Source organism: Homo sapiens, chromosome 5 (genome assembly GCF_000001405.40).
Source record: "Homo sapiens chromosome 5, GRCh38.p14 Primary Assembly".
Taxonomy (NCBI): Eukaryota; Metazoa; Chordata; class Mammalia; order Primates; family Hominidae; genus Homo; species Homo sapiens.
Window position 1 is genome coordinate 6,367,047 of NC_000005.10, and position 17,912 is coordinate 6,384,958.

The 17,912-nt window shown below is 43.8% G+C and overlaps 1 protein-coding gene across 1 annotated transcript, besides 3 other annotated features; it reads right to left on the reverse strand.

Moving 5' to 3' along the window:
* Nucleotides 371–538: a silencer, noted in NCBI's record as "fragment chr5:6367530-6367697 (GRCh37/hg19 assembly coordinates)". NCBI's record gives its function as "represses an EF-1alpha promoter that drives an FKBP-Casp9 reporter gene in an ReSE screen in HepG2 liver carcinoma cells {active_cell/tissue: HepG2}" and the evidence as "EXISTENCE:reporter gene assay evidence [ECO:0000049][PMID:32094911]".
* Nucleotides 4,828–11,501, reverse strand: MED10 (mediator complex subunit 10). The gene is made up of 4 exons (NM_032286.3): nucleotides 11,316–11,501; nucleotides 10,120–10,203; nucleotides 7,278–7,380; nucleotides 4,828–5,555 (listed from the first exon to the last, which is right to left on the reverse strand). The coding sequence occupies exons 1-4, from the start codon at nucleotides 11,435–11,437 to the stop codon at nucleotides 5,457–5,459; spliced, it is 408 nt and encodes a 135-aa protein (NP_115662.2). The 5' UTR covers nucleotides 11,438–11,501; the 3' UTR covers nucleotides 4,828–5,456.
* Nucleotides 11,236–11,445: an enhancer, noted in NCBI's record as "active region_22329". NCBI's record gives its function as "activates an Ori minimal core promoter by ATAC-STARR-seq in GM12878 lymphoblastoid cells {active_cell/tissue: GM12878}" and the evidence as "EXISTENCE:reporter gene assay evidence [ECO:0000049][PMID:35858748]".
* Nucleotides 11,736–11,955: an enhancer, noted in NCBI's record as "active region_22330". NCBI's record gives its function as "activates an Ori minimal core promoter by ATAC-STARR-seq in GM12878 lymphoblastoid cells {active_cell/tissue: GM12878}" and the evidence as "EXISTENCE:reporter gene assay evidence [ECO:0000049][PMID:35858748]".

Below are 17,912 nucleotides of genomic sequence, written 5' to 3' on the forward strand. Positions count from 1 at the left end.
GTGTCAGAGAAGGTGAGATAACAGAAATGACTTTTACACTGCAACCTGAAAGATGCGCACAGGTGAGCCAGGAAAGAGGTGAGTTATGTGGAGGTGTGGTGGACTGAGAGGATGAAATACGAGTATGACTGGAGTGAAAATAAATAAATAAAAGCAAGGAAATGGGGTATTTAGGAGACTTAGTGATGGCAATGATACCAGGGCAGGGGAAGAGGGAGGGACAGAAAGGAGGCAAAGATGATATGACCAGCTGAAAGTTCATGCCACTTTCTGAGGCAGACACAGAGGGAGACTTGGGTAGGAAACGTATCTGTGTAATTTTAGAGACACTGAGTTGGAGGTTCCTGGGGAATAGCAGAGGGGGAAAAAAATGGAAGTTGGGTTACAGAAGTGTAGGACTCATTTAGGCTGGGCTATAAACCTGGAATCTCAGCACAGGATGGTAACCGGTGCCAGGGAATAGATGAGCTTGTCCAGGGAGAGGGTGGGTAAGGAAAGATGCCTCGAGGAACCCAAACCTGAACCTCTGCTGGAGCATGCTGTTTAGAAGTCAAGGAAAGAGAGGGCTCTCCGGAAGCTGTGCTGGTTGGAATGGGGTCTGGATTCAGCATTTTAATAAGCTCCTTGGTGGTTCTGCCACGAGTAGGCAGAAGTCTGCCTTGGAGAAACTCATTCAGATGGAGCTTGGACAAGGCCGACCCTCAGCTAATGTTGACTGAATCAACGTGTTTTGTAATTATGTATTTGTCCGTCTTTCTGTATCAATACATACAGATCTTCATTCCTTCATTCATGTTAGTCATAGCACAGTTATCCAGCAAATGGATAAAGCACGATTTATCTAAGCCATTATTAATGGACATTCAAGTTATTGCTTGAATATAATGTAAAATTTATATAATGTAAAATTTATATAATGTAAAAATTAACACCTGCCTATTCTTCTGCTGGGTTTTCTTATTTGTGAAAGAGCTCTGCATAGTAGTCATGAAGTTCCTTGTGATATGTATAATAAGTATTACAACTGGGCTCAGTGGCTCACACTTATAATCTCAGCATTTTGGGAGGCCAAGGAGGGAGGACCACTTGAGGCCAGGAGATTGAGACTAGCCTGGGCAATATAGTGAAACCTGATCTTTACAAATGAAAATAAAAAACATTAGCTGGGCATGGTAGTGCACACCTATAGTCCCAGCTACTCAGGAGGCTGAGGTGGGAGGATCCCTTGAGCCCAGGAATTTAAGATTACAGTGAGCTATGATTGTGCCACTGCACTCCAACCTGGGCCAGAGTGAGTCCCTGTCTCTATTTTTAAAAAAAAAAAAAAAAAAAAGAACTTTCTTAGCTTTTTTGCCTTTTGAGTTTATGGTGTTTTTAGCCTTATGTTATTTATTTTTTTCTAACAGCTATACAGCCAAATGTATCGATCTTTTCCTTTGTAACTTCTTAGGTTTGTGATACATTTAAAAAGTTTAAGAAGTGGTACACCTGCCACCTAACGTCACCTGAGTCTTGACAGAACCAAGGACTGTATATTGTCGAACTCCCTTGGGGCAATGGCACCTCTGTCACTTGGACAGATGGGTCACTTCTGTGCAGGTGAGTGGCAGGAAACACAGCAGGCTCACCTGGCTATACAGGGTAAACATGTGACCTCGTTTGTAGCCAGCACCTGTATTGTCACTGACTGTAGAAATATTTTAATGAGGCACTCATATATATTTGATAGGATTCAAAAAATGGAAATAAAAAAAGAACACAGAAAACTGATAAACTACTCAGTGACATTACTGATACTCCCCAAAGATGAGCGCTTCCCCTTGTACCTAACACCTGGTTATTTCAGGACTTGAGCACAATAGAGACAGATGGTATCACAATCCTAATCAAGTGTAACTCCAACAGCTCAACTTCCAGGAATTTACCCTAAATAACAATTGAACAAGTGGAAGATGTATGGTCAAAGATAATAACTTCATATTAGTGAAGAACTGGGAAGCACACAGGTACCCAATGGGAGCTGATAAACTAAGCCCAGGAGAGCCACAGTCTTGTGACGTGGCAGGCACAGGCCCAGCTCTCCCATTCGTTAGCTGGGTGACCTGAGCAGGCGCCTCAGGTCCCTCATCTGTAAACCTCACCGATTTACTGTGGGAATTGAGGCAATGCATGGAAAGTGCTTAACCTGTGTCCAGCATGTAAATAACAACACATCTGCTGTTAGCACATTAATGGAACGCTAAATATTAAAATTATGTGAGAGGAAGTTTGAGTTGCCCAGATTTCATGGCATCCTGTTAAAAGAATAAAGGTTACCAACTCATGTGCATAGTAATAATTCCACATCTAGTTGTTCAGTGTGTGTGCACATCTGTGCAAGAGGAGAACATCTAGATGGATGAAAATCACAATAGTAACAATTTGGGCAGAAATGTGGAGATTTTTGTAGCTCTATTTTTCAGTTTTCTGTAATGAACCCTTCTGATTGTACACCCAAAAAGATAAAGAATGTTCTAGTTCTGTGTAAAGGTGGGGCTTAATTTTCGCTTTTTCATTCTGACCCACAGAGGCAGCACAGATTATCTAGAACAGTGACACAGGCTCAGGCCCTGTTTGAGTCCATACCTGCCTCGTGGTGGTTCAGCGGTGTCCTTGGGCATAACAAAAATCAGTAGGCCCTGGGGCTGTTTGCCCGATCTGTGTCTGCAGGAAGAAAGGGGTGGGGAAGAAGAGGTCAGAAGCAAAGCAGGGATTGGAACGAACTGGGTGGCAATGGGCAGGGGTGATGTGAAGCAGCTGATCGAAATGGCTGATACCGTCCCAGGATGACTCTCGCAATCATTCTTTTAACCAAAATGAGGTCTTTGAGAAGAAGGGATGAAGGGCCAGCCAGGTGTGTGCACCTGAACCCAAGCTCCTCCGGGTGGAGAGCTCTGGAAGGCAGTGTCAGTGACAGTCACAGCATGCCTCGCCGAGTGTCAAACGCGGCCTGGAACCCTCCAGTCCTCTCACACTGACATCAATTCCGAGCTAAGTAGATTCCTCAGCATTTCAGGAGATTTGAAAGTGATGGGCACTTGTGACTAACAGTAATGGCAGGTGGGGTGGAATTAAGGGGCATGTGGCCTGTCACAGTGTCGAGGGGCTCCAACACCTCTTCATTGCCTGGGGACCCACTGTGGTGGTGTCATCAGACACACTGATGAAAGTTAGGAGTTCCAAGGCAGTGCATCCATATACCCAAACTTTTACTCAAAAAAAGACTGGTGAATATTCCAGAATAATGTGTGACAGCTACACCGCCCCTGCTGGGCCTAGGTCAGCAGACTTGTCATGCTGTGGGCTACCAGATACGCATCTCTAGCTGACAGTCACCCTCTCTTCCCAAGGCTCAGACATCAAGATTAAAACAGCTTGAGGCCACCCGATTAACTCAGTCCCAGGATATGTAGAACAGCCCCTACTGCCGGCACATCCTCCATGTTTCAGAGCCCAGGAAGAGGGGACTGTGGACACTTTGGACCCACCCAGAACCAGCACAGAGGGAGGCGAAGCTGCAGGGCTTCGGGCACGTTAAGCCCTGGTGCCCCAGCTTCAACATCAGTAATATAAAGAAAGCCGGACCTCACAGGGCTGGTGAGGGCCAGGTGAGTTGATGCAGGTGAAGTGTGTGGGAAGAGCCCAGCGAGCCGCGTGCCCACATGGCCCTCGTGCAGCAGCCAATAGTCAGCATCCTGATGCCAGAAAAACAAGGCGGAACAGCGATTCAGGCACCCGAACCTGCCAGCAGGGGCCTCCTCTACTCTAGCAGAAATTCTTCCCCTTGGTAGCAGTAGGAGTCCTTTTCTGGTGCTGTTTTGGAGAGAACAGAACTGCTAGCGAGGGACCAGCTTCCTAAGGGGCCTGGCCCCTGACTCTTGGTAAATACGACCCTCCTGGGGAGTATTCTGGACTGAGTTGCATCCCTCCAAAACTCCAGTGTCAAAGCCCTAACCTCAGGACCTGAGAATGCAACTGTATTTGGAGACAGGTTCTTCAAAGAAGTAAGTTAAAAATGGGTCCTTCGGGTGGGTCCTAATACCATCTAACTGCTGTTCTTAGATTCTAAAGAGGTTAGGACACACAGAAGAGACACCAGGGCTGTGACACACACAGAGGAACGACCACGTGAGGTCAAAGTAAGCAGGTCTGCAAGCCAGGGAGGCCTCGGGAGAAACCCACTCTGCAGGCACCGTGAGCTTGTACTTCCAGCCTCCAGAACTGTGGGAAAATACATGTTTGTTGTTCAAACCACCCAGAATGTGGTGTTTTATTCCGGCAGCCCTGGCTAGGATCGAGGCTGGTTCAGGATCGCTCGTAGGAGGCAAATTAACACAGATTCCCAGGGCCCATCCTAAAGCCTGAGGCTCAACACGTCTGAACTGGGGCCCTACCTTAATAACAAGCCTGCCCAGGCCATTCGGACACAGGGGTCTATAGGTCAACCTCCGCACAGGCCGCACTAGGGCCTCAACTCCAAGGGTGGCCCACAGATCACAGAAACAGCACCACCTGCAGTTCATGAAAAATGCAGTTTGCAAGGCCCAACGGACGTGTGAATCCGAACCTGCAGGTTCACAGAATCCCCTCAGGATCTGTAAGCACACTGAAGCTGAAACAGCCCTGCCGGGCGTCTTTCCAGAGTGTCAATAAATTGGTGTACTATAGCCGCTAGGAAAGGTTTGTAGAAAAAATTGGAGTTCTGCATTTTGCTTTAGCTTTTCCTGCCTAAATGCCTGGAAAACAAATTTTCTTATGAATATTACCAACCCTCTGGGAAAGTAATAATTAACTGTTTACAAGACACATTGTATTATATTACAAAAATAATTACATGGAATAAGCCACATACTTAGTTTATTATAGGCATGTCTAATTGAAATCCATGAAAACAGTTACATTTAAAACATTCTTTATGCACTATACTTGAAAATGTAAAATATAATACCACTTAAGTACTTCCCACATTAAACTGATTTTTCTTTTTTTAAAAAAATTTTTCCTAGTCGTTATTTAGCTTTCGGACACCATAATACAATAGAACAGAAAGAGTATGTTAAAAGAAAAATATTAGGTAGAATGTTGTAAAACTTTTAATTTACCCATCATATTTAACATTTCCAAGACTATTTTCCTGCGCCTCATCTGCCCTCAGAGAGAATGATCCCCACAGTGATGAGGGGTCAGCACTCTGAAAGCCAGTTGACGCCAGACAAGCTGCTGGAACAGCTGGGGCACAGCTCCGCCTCTCCTCCAGCCCCTCGGTCCCATGAGGCCAAACAATGAGGACAGAGGGGCTGAGGGGTGTGTCCAGGGCCCAGTCCCACCTCAGCAGGAAGGTGGCGTCAGCACTCGCAGTCCCAGCCTCACGCCGCATCGCAGTCCCAGGGGATCTTCACACAGGGAGGGTGAGCTGGTTAAGAAGGCGGGTGATCCTCCCCCCGGATGCTTCGATACTTAGCCATGTCTTCCGGAAATACTTTAGAAAGTTCTTGAATCAACAGGCTTTTAAATTTCTACAAAGAAAATACATTATCAAAGGAGCTCTTCACATCAACACTCCAATAACTATTTAAAATATGCCTTTTGGAAGTTTAAACACATGGCCCACTAAGCAATACAGGGCCACGGGACTGACCTGAGACTTCCACTGATCTCAGAGAGGAAATGACACCAATAGCAACATATGCAAAAGGAAGCGACACTGCACAGCCCCGGACGTCACCACCAGCAGCACAGTTCTGTACTGCCCAAAGGCACCAGTGTGACAGGAGCCTGCTGGAACTGTAAGCCACGTCCCTGGTGACCCAGTGGCTGTGTTCACATGGAGAGAGACGTTTCTGTTGGCCAATATAATTCTCACTCAGCTTTATCAAGCGAAACGGAACAATCAAAACGAGCGGCCCTCACTATTGATAAGGAGTGCACTGGCTCTGAAGGTGACGCTGGACTCAACAACTCCTCAATCCCAAATGGACAAAACAGAGATGAGGCTGTGGGAGCCATAAGAACAACTATGACAAAACACCACTTCTGAGGTGTGCTGTTTACCACCAGGAGGGGATCACCTGAATGGGATTCTGGAAGCCCTGTGACCTGCCTGTGACTAGGCAGGTCTCCTTCTGACAGCTCCTCCCCTTGCTCCTCCCACTCGGCCAGAGCGCCAAGAGGCCACTGTGTGACCATCCCTGCCTGCGCACATTAGCCATGGCTGAGCACACGTGTCCCAGTCTGGCACCAGGCATCAGTGGGAACAGAACACTCATGTCCTCTGTGATCCTGGAGCTCAAGCAGCCGGCAGAGGAGACAGAACAAACAGAAAAAACAAAATTAAAAGGTAAATCTTGACCAGCATTCTCAAGGAAAGCTTTAGAAAAGGCTGGTCCCAAAGGCCTCTTTGAGGAGGTGAAATCATCTGAAACTGGAAGGATAGAGTCGCTTGTGCAAAGAGAACATGGAAGAGCTCCAGGCGGAGAAGATGACAGGAGAAAAGAACACGAACGAAAGGGTTGGATGTATTCCAGAACCGAAAACCAGGCCGGCGTGGATGGCCGGGAGGAGGAAGAGGCACCTATTGTGAGCTGGGAGGAGAGGAAGGCAGAGGTCCCTGCTGCACACGGCAACAGTCGCATGGCGCCAACAGAAATGAGTGGCCGTTAAGTCCAAATAAAGAAACAAAACACCAATTTGAACTACATTTGAGTCAATTTAAGAAAAAATTACATATTTCATGTTCAAGTGCAGAGAGTTCTCTACATCTCATCAAGGCAAAGAAAAACTAAGTGATCTGGGGAATTTCATGACAATGGATATGGTAAAAAGAAGTTTGGAGGTCAGAAGCTGGACAAAGAGAAAAATCAATATTCAAGAATCCTCTAAAACAAAGAACCATGACTACAGGGAAAGCCTTCAACAGTAGGAATTACTACAGAAATAGAAAGTATCAATGCAATAAAAGTGCATCTTAAAAAAATGAAAATGATCACAGCCAGTGAGAACTACTATCACAAAAATTACTCTGGATTTCCTTAAGAGTAAGATTAGTGTATGTTTTTTATGCTATTACGCAGCTGATATCTAATTTTACTTACTGCCTATTACACAATTCAGAAATCTCAATATGTGAAGTTATGAAAGTCAATATTCTAGCAAGTATGGAAAAAAATGAGTCTCTTAACCAAATTCCACTGAGAAGGCATCTCTTCCCACTGTATTTCTGACACTCCTTAGAGTCTTACCTTCATGGTGTCGATCTTGCCTTTAACTTGCTCATTTTTAGCTAGAGCCCTCTCCAGGCACTCTTTGGTGTAGAGCTGGGGATTTCGACCTTGATCTATATATCTGGAAACACGATATATTTCAATTAGCATTCTCATGACTGACACCTATTCTCACAGCTTTCTGAAAGGTATGGGGGAATAAAGGTTAGGTATATATAACTGCACACGGCCTTGTTTAGACAAAACTCAGTGTAGGAACCAGGGGAATTAATATTCCCTCATTTACACAAGTACAGATCATCTGATTTCATTACTTCTGATAATACGAACAGCTCATAAAATCAAGTAATGATCACTGATAAACCCAAGCACGCTTCACAAGCCATACCACTTTACATGTGTTTAGCATTTGCACTTTTCAAAATTCGTTCATGCTATTTATTACCTTTTTGATCCTTACAGCAGCTTGTATGGTAAGGCAACTCTTGACAAAAGAAAAAACTAAATGAGATCCAGGGGTTCGGGCCTGGGTGACATAGGCGGATCCTTCCACGATGCAGCCTCCATTCTAGGTCAGCCCTGCTGCTTGGCAAAGCCCCTCCTCCTCTGTGGAGGAGCTTCAGGGGAAAGGAAAGGAGAACTACAAGCACAAGAGCCCCAGCCCTGACGACCCCAAGATCCTTTTACAAACCATTCCACTGCTTTAAAAAGAAGAGGCGGCTTGATATACCACTTTACTAAATACACCTAGGTAACTTAAATATAACAGAGACATTCTGGCCAATTATTTCTAAACAGTATAAAACTGTTACTTAGAATTTCTGACACTTCCCCCAGAAATTATCTTCAGTATCCTGAAGATTTAATTAAACATACTGCCTAGATCAATACCTATATTTTACCAAGAGCAGGCCACCTACCTTTTTCTGTACCCTAAAGAAATCCTTATCATTCAACTAAACTGAATCATTCATTATTTAAAAAACAAAAAACAAAAACTGAAAACTAACTCTACTTTCGAATTTTATAATTGAGGCCAAAAATATATAATCACTTCAGAACAAGATATCATTAGGTTACTACTAATGGTATAAAAAGTAGCCTTGATAGATAGCAAAAGATAAAAACATCACAAGTTCTAGAAATTCTATTTCATTTCAGTGTTTTTGAAATAATGTAATGTGGCAAAATTATGGTTAATTCTAAACAAAATCTATCCATTTCTCAAGAAAAACCTGACAGGCTCACAGAATAAGGTTAACCATGTCAGCTGACGGTCGTTTCTTCAACAGCATGGACATCCTGCTCAGACTTGGTTCTTTGAAGACCGAAGGGTGAACCCACTCCTGCCCACACACAAAGTCCTGGAGACAAGGGCCAAGCTGCTTTCACCTTAGCTAAAGACACAGTTGGTGTGTATGAAAATGTACACGCTGCAAAGGCCACTGGGACCTGGAAATTCCTTCTACATTGGGTAGACACCAACCACCGATTTGCAGATAAACTCCCAGCATCTGCTCTGTATTAGGGCTCACTGGCATACTCTTCCTGATACCCCAGGTCAATCTCATCCATCCCCGTGCCCAGCACTTCCCTCGGCCCTTAAGCAGTCTGTTCACATCAGTCTCCATTTGTTCTGCTTCAGAAGACACAAGTAGTTACTTGCCACTTGTCACTATATGCATCCCCTGCATTCATAATCAGAAGAGCACAAAGGAGGATGCTCTGTATTCCTGGACTGAGAAAGCCAAAGCTGAGTCTGGAGCTACCTGAGGTGCAAGACCTTCGTCCCACCTGAAGTCAGAGACCTCAGTGGTGCCCACTGAGCACAGGTAAGGAACATGGGGCAAAGTCATCAGCAGGTGAACAGAAGATCAGAGACCAAGAAAACCACCTCTGTGTCCTGTCTTTGTAGGCAGCTGCTGCACTATAGCTAGAACTTGTATCTCTGACCTTTTGGGATGGAAAACAGCCATAACTCTTTCCCTTTACTGCTTAACGAAATCTAGTGATTTACATTTGCAGTTTTGCTGCAAGAAATACTAGAATGTTCTTGCTGTTCCAAGCCAGCACCATCAGGGAGAGGCTGCTTTGCACTGGTCAAGAAAGTATGAGTCCGGGGGTTTCGTCTTAACTCTGACACTTACTAGGTAAACAACCTATTGCAGTTACTTATCAGGTCCTTCATGTGTGAAATCAGAGATGTGACCAAATCAATGCAAGAAAACCTGGATTTTAAAAATCTAAAAGCTCATTCCTGTATGTGTTCTCAGGACTATTACTAACATAGGTGCACACAACTCTCGCACAGAAAACAGTGAGCAGCCTCCCCAAACATACTTGGAATAAGAACCCTTTCTTTCCTCCTTCGACAGAGCAGATATTTTCACCTCTCAGAACTAGCACTCCACGGGCAGTTTGGGAACATCAGACCAGCTTGCTTTTCAGGTGCTTCTGGCTGCCATTTTTTAAAAATTTACAATATAGCCCTCATAGGACTTTTCACCTCTTAAGGAAAAAAGAAAGTTTTGTGGCTGTTCTTTAGCCTAAGCAGGGCTTTGAGGACCTATGATGTATTTCATATATTTAATAAGCTTTTATTTACATGTAACTTTTTTTCCACAATAGAATATTAAGGATATTCTTTTTTTTCGTTTTGTAATGCCATTAGAACGGAAGTTCCATAAGGGCAGGTATTTTTGTATTTTTGTCTATTTTTTTTTCCACTGGCACATCCCCAGCACCCAGGCTGTGCCTACCACACAGCAGGCACTCGAATGCCAGTGATGAAGAAGTCACGATACCACACCATAACTGAACAAGATTTATACCCAAGACTAATATCAAGAATGTTACTTACTCAAAAACTTCTAACGGTACAGTAATATCATGAAGCTGCTGTCTGCACTTGTCAATATCCTGTAAGCCAGTAACAATAAAATTCCTGGGGGAAAGGCAAACACACAGGCATCTGGTTAATTTCGCTTGACAGCATAAGCACCACCCACAGAGCTACCCAGCCAACCGGGGCTCCACGCAAGTTCGTTCTCCTCACAGCTATGCGGGTTACACACGGTTCTGACCTCTTTGGTTAGCTACAGGATTCCTAGGACACCGTTAGAGTTACAAAATACCCTTAAATATTTGTTACTTTCCTTCTCAACTAGAAATTGCCAGTAAGGGGGATGGAGAGGGAACCTGATGAAAAATATGAACCTTCTCTCAAAAACAATTACCTGACTGTGCATATGACTGTGTGTGCGGTTTCAGCGAACACATGAGGCAGCGGACTATACTCAAAGTCTGAGGGAAAGAAAGCCATACTGTCTGGTTTAGCTTCCTCTCCTCTCTGGAGCCTTCCTACAGCATCAGGCTGGTCTGGCTATTCCCACAGCACTAGGTATGGAACCTCGAGTGCAACATTTTCTATGTCCGTGCCACATATAAAGCCCTTCTCGAAAGTGCTGTACTTGCATTTGCCTTTTCTCCAACCCAGGGCCTAGCAACATGGGCAGCACAAGGCTGTTGCCAAGAAATAATAATAATAAACGTTCTGCAACCTTTCTCAGCACCACCTCCCCGCTATTTCCTCCACTGTCAGGCCTATGCGGCAGGTGGCTTCGGAGCCTCACCTTCTGAGGCCTAGTTTAGGGCGTGCACTCACTGTGGAGCCTGCCTCCCCTCTGGAGACAGGGACTGAATTCCCAGAAGGGCTCCAGGAGGAAAAGGCTGGGAGGGGGTTACACATGAGAGGGGAGACGCTAGAAGAGAAAGCATGATTCCCTTGATAGGGAAACGTAAAGTATATCATCTGGCCATGACGACGTCTCCAAAGGGGCCTCAAAGAGGTTGGCTCTTGGCAACAGGCTGGAGCGCGGGCCCCGCCCTCTGAACACAGCCAGGAAAGGCGCCCCGGGCTCCGGGACCAGACCAGAGGGCTGGCGGGGCACGAGTAGCGGTCAGGCTCGGCTCGGGCTCCCTAGATCCCCGCTCCCCTAGCACACGCTTCCCGGCCAGGCCCTGGGGAGACCCCGGCAGCCTCGGGCCGCCACTCACAGCTTTTGGTTGAGCCCGGCCTGGCTGCTGGGCTGGAAGTCACTGACGATGATGCCGAGCTGCCGAATGTTCTCCACGAACTTCTCCAGGTGCTCCTCTAGGTGGTCAAACTTCTCCGCCATCGCCTCGGCCCGTCCCCGACCCACACAGCCTCAACCAGCAGCGCCGCAGGCGTGGCCCTACGCTCCCGCTTCCTGCTTCCGTCCGGACAGATACGACTTCCGTTTCCTCTGGGGGAGCGCGGGCGAGCTCTTGGGGGCGGAGCCTCGTTATCGGGACGGGCGTGTTGGGGCGGGGCCTAAGTGCGGGGCAGGGCGGGCTTTCGGGGATGCGGTCTGGATTCTGGAGGAGGCCTCGGCGCGCAGCTGGGCGAGTACTAACTGTTTGCACTCTCATCAGACCTGCCTCGGTCATGGGAGAAGTTGAAGACTTTCTGCAATGCAGCATCTTCAAGCAATACACACATGGATGAAAATCCTAAAGTTTGCATGAAGGACCAATAACGGTAGTTTCCCTGCCCCTCTACCAGAACCCCTGGGATCAGCGCCTGCCTGCCTCCTTTCTTCTATGTAATCGGCGGCCACCTCCCCTAGCTCTTGCTGCTAACCATGCTTCCCGGACACCTGCTGCCTTCGTAGGTCAGGGTCTCACCTCCTCGGGCCAATTCTGACCAAACAGCACCCTGTGGGGTTGCCCTGTCTTAGTAAACTGCTGTTTATCTCATTGAAATTCAGTTTAGGTCATTTCACTCTTATGTTTAAGAAACTTTTCTGCCCGATCTCCTATGATAGCGGATATCTCCTCTAGCCTGTTTGAATTTCTCAAGTGATTTATTTTACTGAATATATTTGTGGCCTGTACTTTTCAGTGCCTAGAAACAGGCAAAGTGAGGGAGCTCCTTTGCTAGATGATCTTCAGAGCCTCTCCCAGCTGTGACCAGAAATGGAAAGCCAGAGAAGGTAAGTGACTTGCCAAACTTATGGAATCAGGGCACTCCAGTTGGTGGGCTGGGCTGATAAACAGAAATGTTACATAAAATACTTCTCTCCTGATTTAACAACAATTAACTTTAGGGAATTATAAAACAAGATGGAGGCTGGGCGTGGTGGCTCAGGCCTGTAATCCCAGAACTTTGGAAGGCCAAGGCAGGTGGATTACCTGAGGTGAGGAGTTCGAGACCGACCTGACCAATATGGAGAAACCCTGTCTCTACTAAAAATACAAAAATTAGTCAGACATGGTGGTGTGCGCCTGTAGTCCCAGCTACTTGGGAGGCTGAGACAGGAGAATTGCTTGAACCCAGGAGGCAGAGGTTGCAGTAAGCCGAGATCATGCCACTGCACTCCAGCCTGGGCAACAGAGCAAGACTCAAAAAAAAAAAAAAAAGGTGGAAATAAAATATTAGACAAATAAAAAATTTTAAGTTATTAGGTAGAGGTAGCGACATGGAGTGAACGGCCTTTCTCAATTTCATAAGTAAGAAAGATAGATAATTGATGGAACTTAGGCTTTGGTAAGTATTTATTTTAAAAATTTAAGGGTATCTCTTTGCTAGTATATATAATTCCCAAACTAGTAGACAGGGGGAAGGGAATAAAGAAAACACAATCAACTCAATAGAAGGCAAGAAAAGAAGAGAATAAAGAAGCAAAGAACAAGCATGGAAAATAAAACTCACAACGTAAAGTGCAAAAATTAAAGGCACACGACTCAACAGCAAAAAAGCAAAAGAAGAAATTTATAAATGGGCAAAGGACCTGAACAGATACTTCTCAAAAGAAGACATAAAAATGACCAGCAAAAATGCTCAGCATCACATATCATCAGGGAAATACAAATTAAAAGCATAATGAGATGTCACCTTACACTGTTAGAAGGGCTATAATCAAAAAGACCAAAGACAATGGGTGTGGGTGAAAATGTGGAGGAAAGGGAACCCTTGTACACTGTTGATGGGAATGTAAATTAGTGCAGCCTTTATGGAAAATAGAATGGAAGTTTCCCAAAACTCTAAAAACAGAATTACCATATGATCCAGCAGTCCTACTTCTGAGTATATACTGTGAACCCTGAATATCTGAGACAGTTCTCAGTTAATTTAGAAAGTTTATTTTGCCAAGGTTGAAGACACACACTCATGACACGGCCTCAGGAGGTCCTGATGACATGAGCCCAAGGTGGTCAGGGCACAGCTTGGTTTTATACATTTTAGGGAAACATGAGACATAAATCAATATGTAAGTGTAAGGTATACACTGGTTCTGTCCAGAAAGGCGGGAAAACTCAAAGCAGGGAGGGGGCTTCCAGGTCACTGGTAGGTGAAAGACAAATAGTTACATTATTTTGAGTTTCTGATTTGCCTTTCCAAAGGAGGCAATCAGATATGCACCTATCTCAGTGAGCAAAGGGATCACTTTGAATAGAATGGGAGGCAGGTTGTCCCTGAGCATTTTCCAGCATGACTTTTCCCTTTAGCTTAGTGATTTGGGGGCCCCAAAATTTATTTTCCTTTCACAATACTCAAAGGAATTGAAATCACTATGTCAAAGAGATATCTGTGTTTCCAGAAAGAGGTCCCAGTCCAGACCCCGAGAGAGTTCTTGGATCTTGTGAAAGAAGGAATTCAGGGTGAGTCCATATAGTAAAGTAAAAGCAAGTGTATTAGTAAAATAAAGGAATAAAGAATGGCTACTCCATAGGCAGAGCGGCCCGAGGGCTACTGGTTACTTGCTGTTATGGTTATTTCTTGATTGTATGCTAAGCAAGTGGTGGCTTATTTATGCCTCCCCGTTTTAGACCATTTAGGGTAACTTCCTAACAGGTCATGGCATTTGGAAACTGTCAGGGCAGTGGTGGGAGTATAGCAGTGAGAACTCTCGTTGCCATCTTGGTTTTGGTGGGGTTTAGCTGGCTTCTTTACAGCAAACTGTTTTATCAGTGAGGTGTTTATGACCTGTATTTGGTGCCGACCTCCTATCTCATCTTGTGACTTAGAATGCCTAACCATCTGGGAATGCAGCCCAGTAGGTTTGTTTCAGCCTTATTTTACCCAGCTCCTATTCAAGATGGAGTTGCTCTGCTTCAAATGCCTCTAACATCTGTACCCCATAAAAATAGACAATTATTATTTGTTAATTAAAAATAAAATTAAAAAGTGTATCATGAACTGTGTTCCCTGTCATTAAATGTGTGCCTTCCCCACTAAAAACATACGTTAGTGAACACAGTAAATGTTAACAGATTTAACATTTAATTAATTTAATTAATTAATTAATTATTTAATTTAACATTTAACTGTTAGTCTATCCTAACAGTTAAATGTTAACAGATTTAACTGTTAGGGTAGACTCTCAGATTAGAATCCAATTGGAAGTGTTTTGTTTTGTTGTTTTAATCTAGCTATGTTGCTTTTCAAAGGTACACCTAAAACAAACTTATAGACAGGTTGAAAATAAAGAGGGAGGATAGAATAATATATGGCAGGCAACCAAAAGAAAGTTGTTAATGCATATAAAAGTTAGTAAAGAAACATTAAAAAGATGCTTTTAATGGTAAAGAGAAGACTCATTAAAGATAGAATACTATTCACCTATAAGCAACTGACAACATAGTCCCATATTATCTAGCACAAAAATTGACAAAATATGAGGAAAAATTCAAAATCCATAATTATTACAGAGGATTTGGAGTACCTCTATCAGAAAACAATAAATCAAGTAGGCCAAAAAGCATATGAAGAATATGGAAGACTTAAGTAATATATTAAGAATTGTGATCTCTGAAAAACAGTGACCCCTGAAGAATAGATTGTTTCCAAGCACATTTCAAATACTTACAAAAACTTGACCATTCCCTAGACCACAAAGAAAGTTTCAGCAAACTCAGATCCTATCACATAGACCAGATTTTCTGACCTCGTAATTCCAGTAGAAATCTATGAATTTATTCATTTTCTACACATACATACACGTTCGAAAATCAAAACACACTCTAAATAATTCATGAGTTTACATACATCTGAGAATGGGCAAGACCCAATTATGTCTGTTGTCTTCGTGTGATTATTAATAGCACTCTTCCACTCACTGTCAAACATGTCCCAGTTTGGTTGATACGTTATGTGGACATCCTATTTAAAAGGAAAATTATAAAACATTTGGAATTAAATGACAAGAATTCCCTGTCAAACTTCTGCTTTACTCCTGAGGTAATAATTTGAGGGAAAACAGCCTGGAAAAAATAAACTGGAGTTTCAACTCAAAGAGTAGGATAAAAAGAATCAAAAGGGAAATCACAGGCACCAAAAAATACATAAAAAGGGGTGACAAAAGTAAAGACAGACACTGATGAAAATGAGAACTATTGCATTAGTTTTCTGTCTAGCTGCATTCGAAGCTGGAAAGATAAAAATGAAGAAAAGTTGATTGTTGAAAAGATGAGTCAAATATATATACTTCTGGCAAGTCTCATCAGAGAAGAAGAAAAGAAAGGTGCTAAAAGAGAAAAATATACAGTATTATAAATGAGTGAGGGTGAGGGTAAAACTTATATGTTCATAATTTTGAAAGCTTAGAAGATATAAACAATTTTCTAGGAAACTACCAGAAATTAACTTAAGAAAAATAAACAATTAGAATAGTTCCTAGTCTTTCAATAAACTGGCCAGTAGGCAAAAATCTCTTTCAAAGATAGGAGAGACATAAGCTCGGACAGTTTTTTATACTAATTGTTTAAAAATCAAACATTAAAGAACAAATAATTTCAAACTTACCCAGATACATTCAGAGACTAGAAAAAGAAGAAATACATCCCAGCTCATTTTGAAAGAGCAGTATAACTTTTATATGAAAATCATCAAGGACAATACAAGAAAATATAGGTCAATCTTCCTTATGAAAGTAGATACAAAAGTCTTAAGTAAGATATTATCAGAATTAGATCAGTTGTCATGCATCAGGCATCTATTGCTGTATAGCAAACCATGCCAAAACTTAGTGGCGTAAAACAACCTCAGTCCTTCATTTTACCCACAAATCTGCATTGTGGCCTGTGCATGGCGTTCACAGCTTCTCTCTGCTCCATGTCACATGGGCTGGGGTGGCTTCACTGGAGGCTGAAGGACCTGCTTTCACAATGGCTTATTCAGCGGGGCTGTGGGCTGGCGACCACACATCCCCCCCGTGTGGGTGTGTCCCTGGGATTTGGGAGCTTCCTCCCTGATGGTGGCAGGGTGCCAAGAGCACAGAGCTCAGGAGAAGCAGGTGAAAGCAGCACCACCTCTTATGACCTTGCCTGGGAAGTCCCCCGACAGCCAGGGCACATTTAGATCCCCAGGGAGGGAACATAACCTGTCTTCCCGGTGGAAGAAGTAAGAAGTCACATTGATAGAGGAGCAGGTGAGATGAGAACTTGTTGAAGCCGTGAACCCCAAGTATCTGAGACAGACAGGTCTCAGTCAATTTAGGAAGTTTATTTGCCAAAGTTAAAGACACCTGCCTGTCACACAGCCTCAGGAGGTCCTGACAACATGGGCCCAAGGGCACAGCTTGGTTTTATACATTTTAGGGAGACGTGAGACATCAGTCAATATATGTATGTACAGTGGTTCCACCCGGAAAGGCAGGGCAACTAGAAGCAGGGAGGCAGTTTCCAGGTCATAGGTAGGTGAGAGACGAATCGTTGCATTCTTTTGAGTTCCTGATTAGCCTTTCCAAAGGAGGCAATCAGATATGCATTTATCTCAGTGAGCAGAGGGCAACTTTGAATTCTGTCTGTCCTTTGTCCACAGAGAAATTCCTTGTGAGGGAGTTATGTCGCTTTTTAATCTTAGTAGCTACGTTTTTTAGGAACAGAATGGGAGGCAGGTTCGCCCTAAGCAGTTCCCAACTTGGCTTTTCCTTTTGGCTTAGTGATTTTGGGGTCCCAAGATTTATTTTCCTTTCACAAAGCTGTTTTTGAAAAATACAACCTGTCACCCATCACATTGGGAAAAAAGTTATGATCCATTGTGCTTTTCCTAGGATTGCATGAATTATGAAATATCATAAAATCCATTATTATAACAGTCTGTTAAGGATTAAAGGAGATAAAATACCTCAGGTAGATTTTTTAAGTAGACACTGGATATTAATAAAATTGAACCCAAATCATGATTTAAAAATAAAAAAGAGGCTGGGCATGATGGCTTACATTTGTATTCCCAGCACTTTGGGAGGCTGAGGCGGGCAGATCACGAGGTCAACAGATCAAGACCATCCTGGCCAACATAGTGAAACCCCGTCTCTACTAAAAATACAAAAATTAGCTGGGCGTGGAGGCACGCACCTGTAGTCCCAGCTACTCGGGAGGCTGAGGCAGGAGAATCCCTTGAACCTGGGAGGCGGAGGCTGCAGGAGCCAAGATCGCACCACTGCACTCCAGCCTGGCGACGGAGCGAGACTCCATCTCAATAAAATAAAATTACATTAAATTAAATTAAAAAGAAACCTTTGAGAAAACTAAGAATAGAAAAGAACTTTCTAAACCTGATGAAAGATGTTTTATCTACTAAGAACATAGAGAAAGCATTAGACTCAATAATGAAACTTCAGGAACATG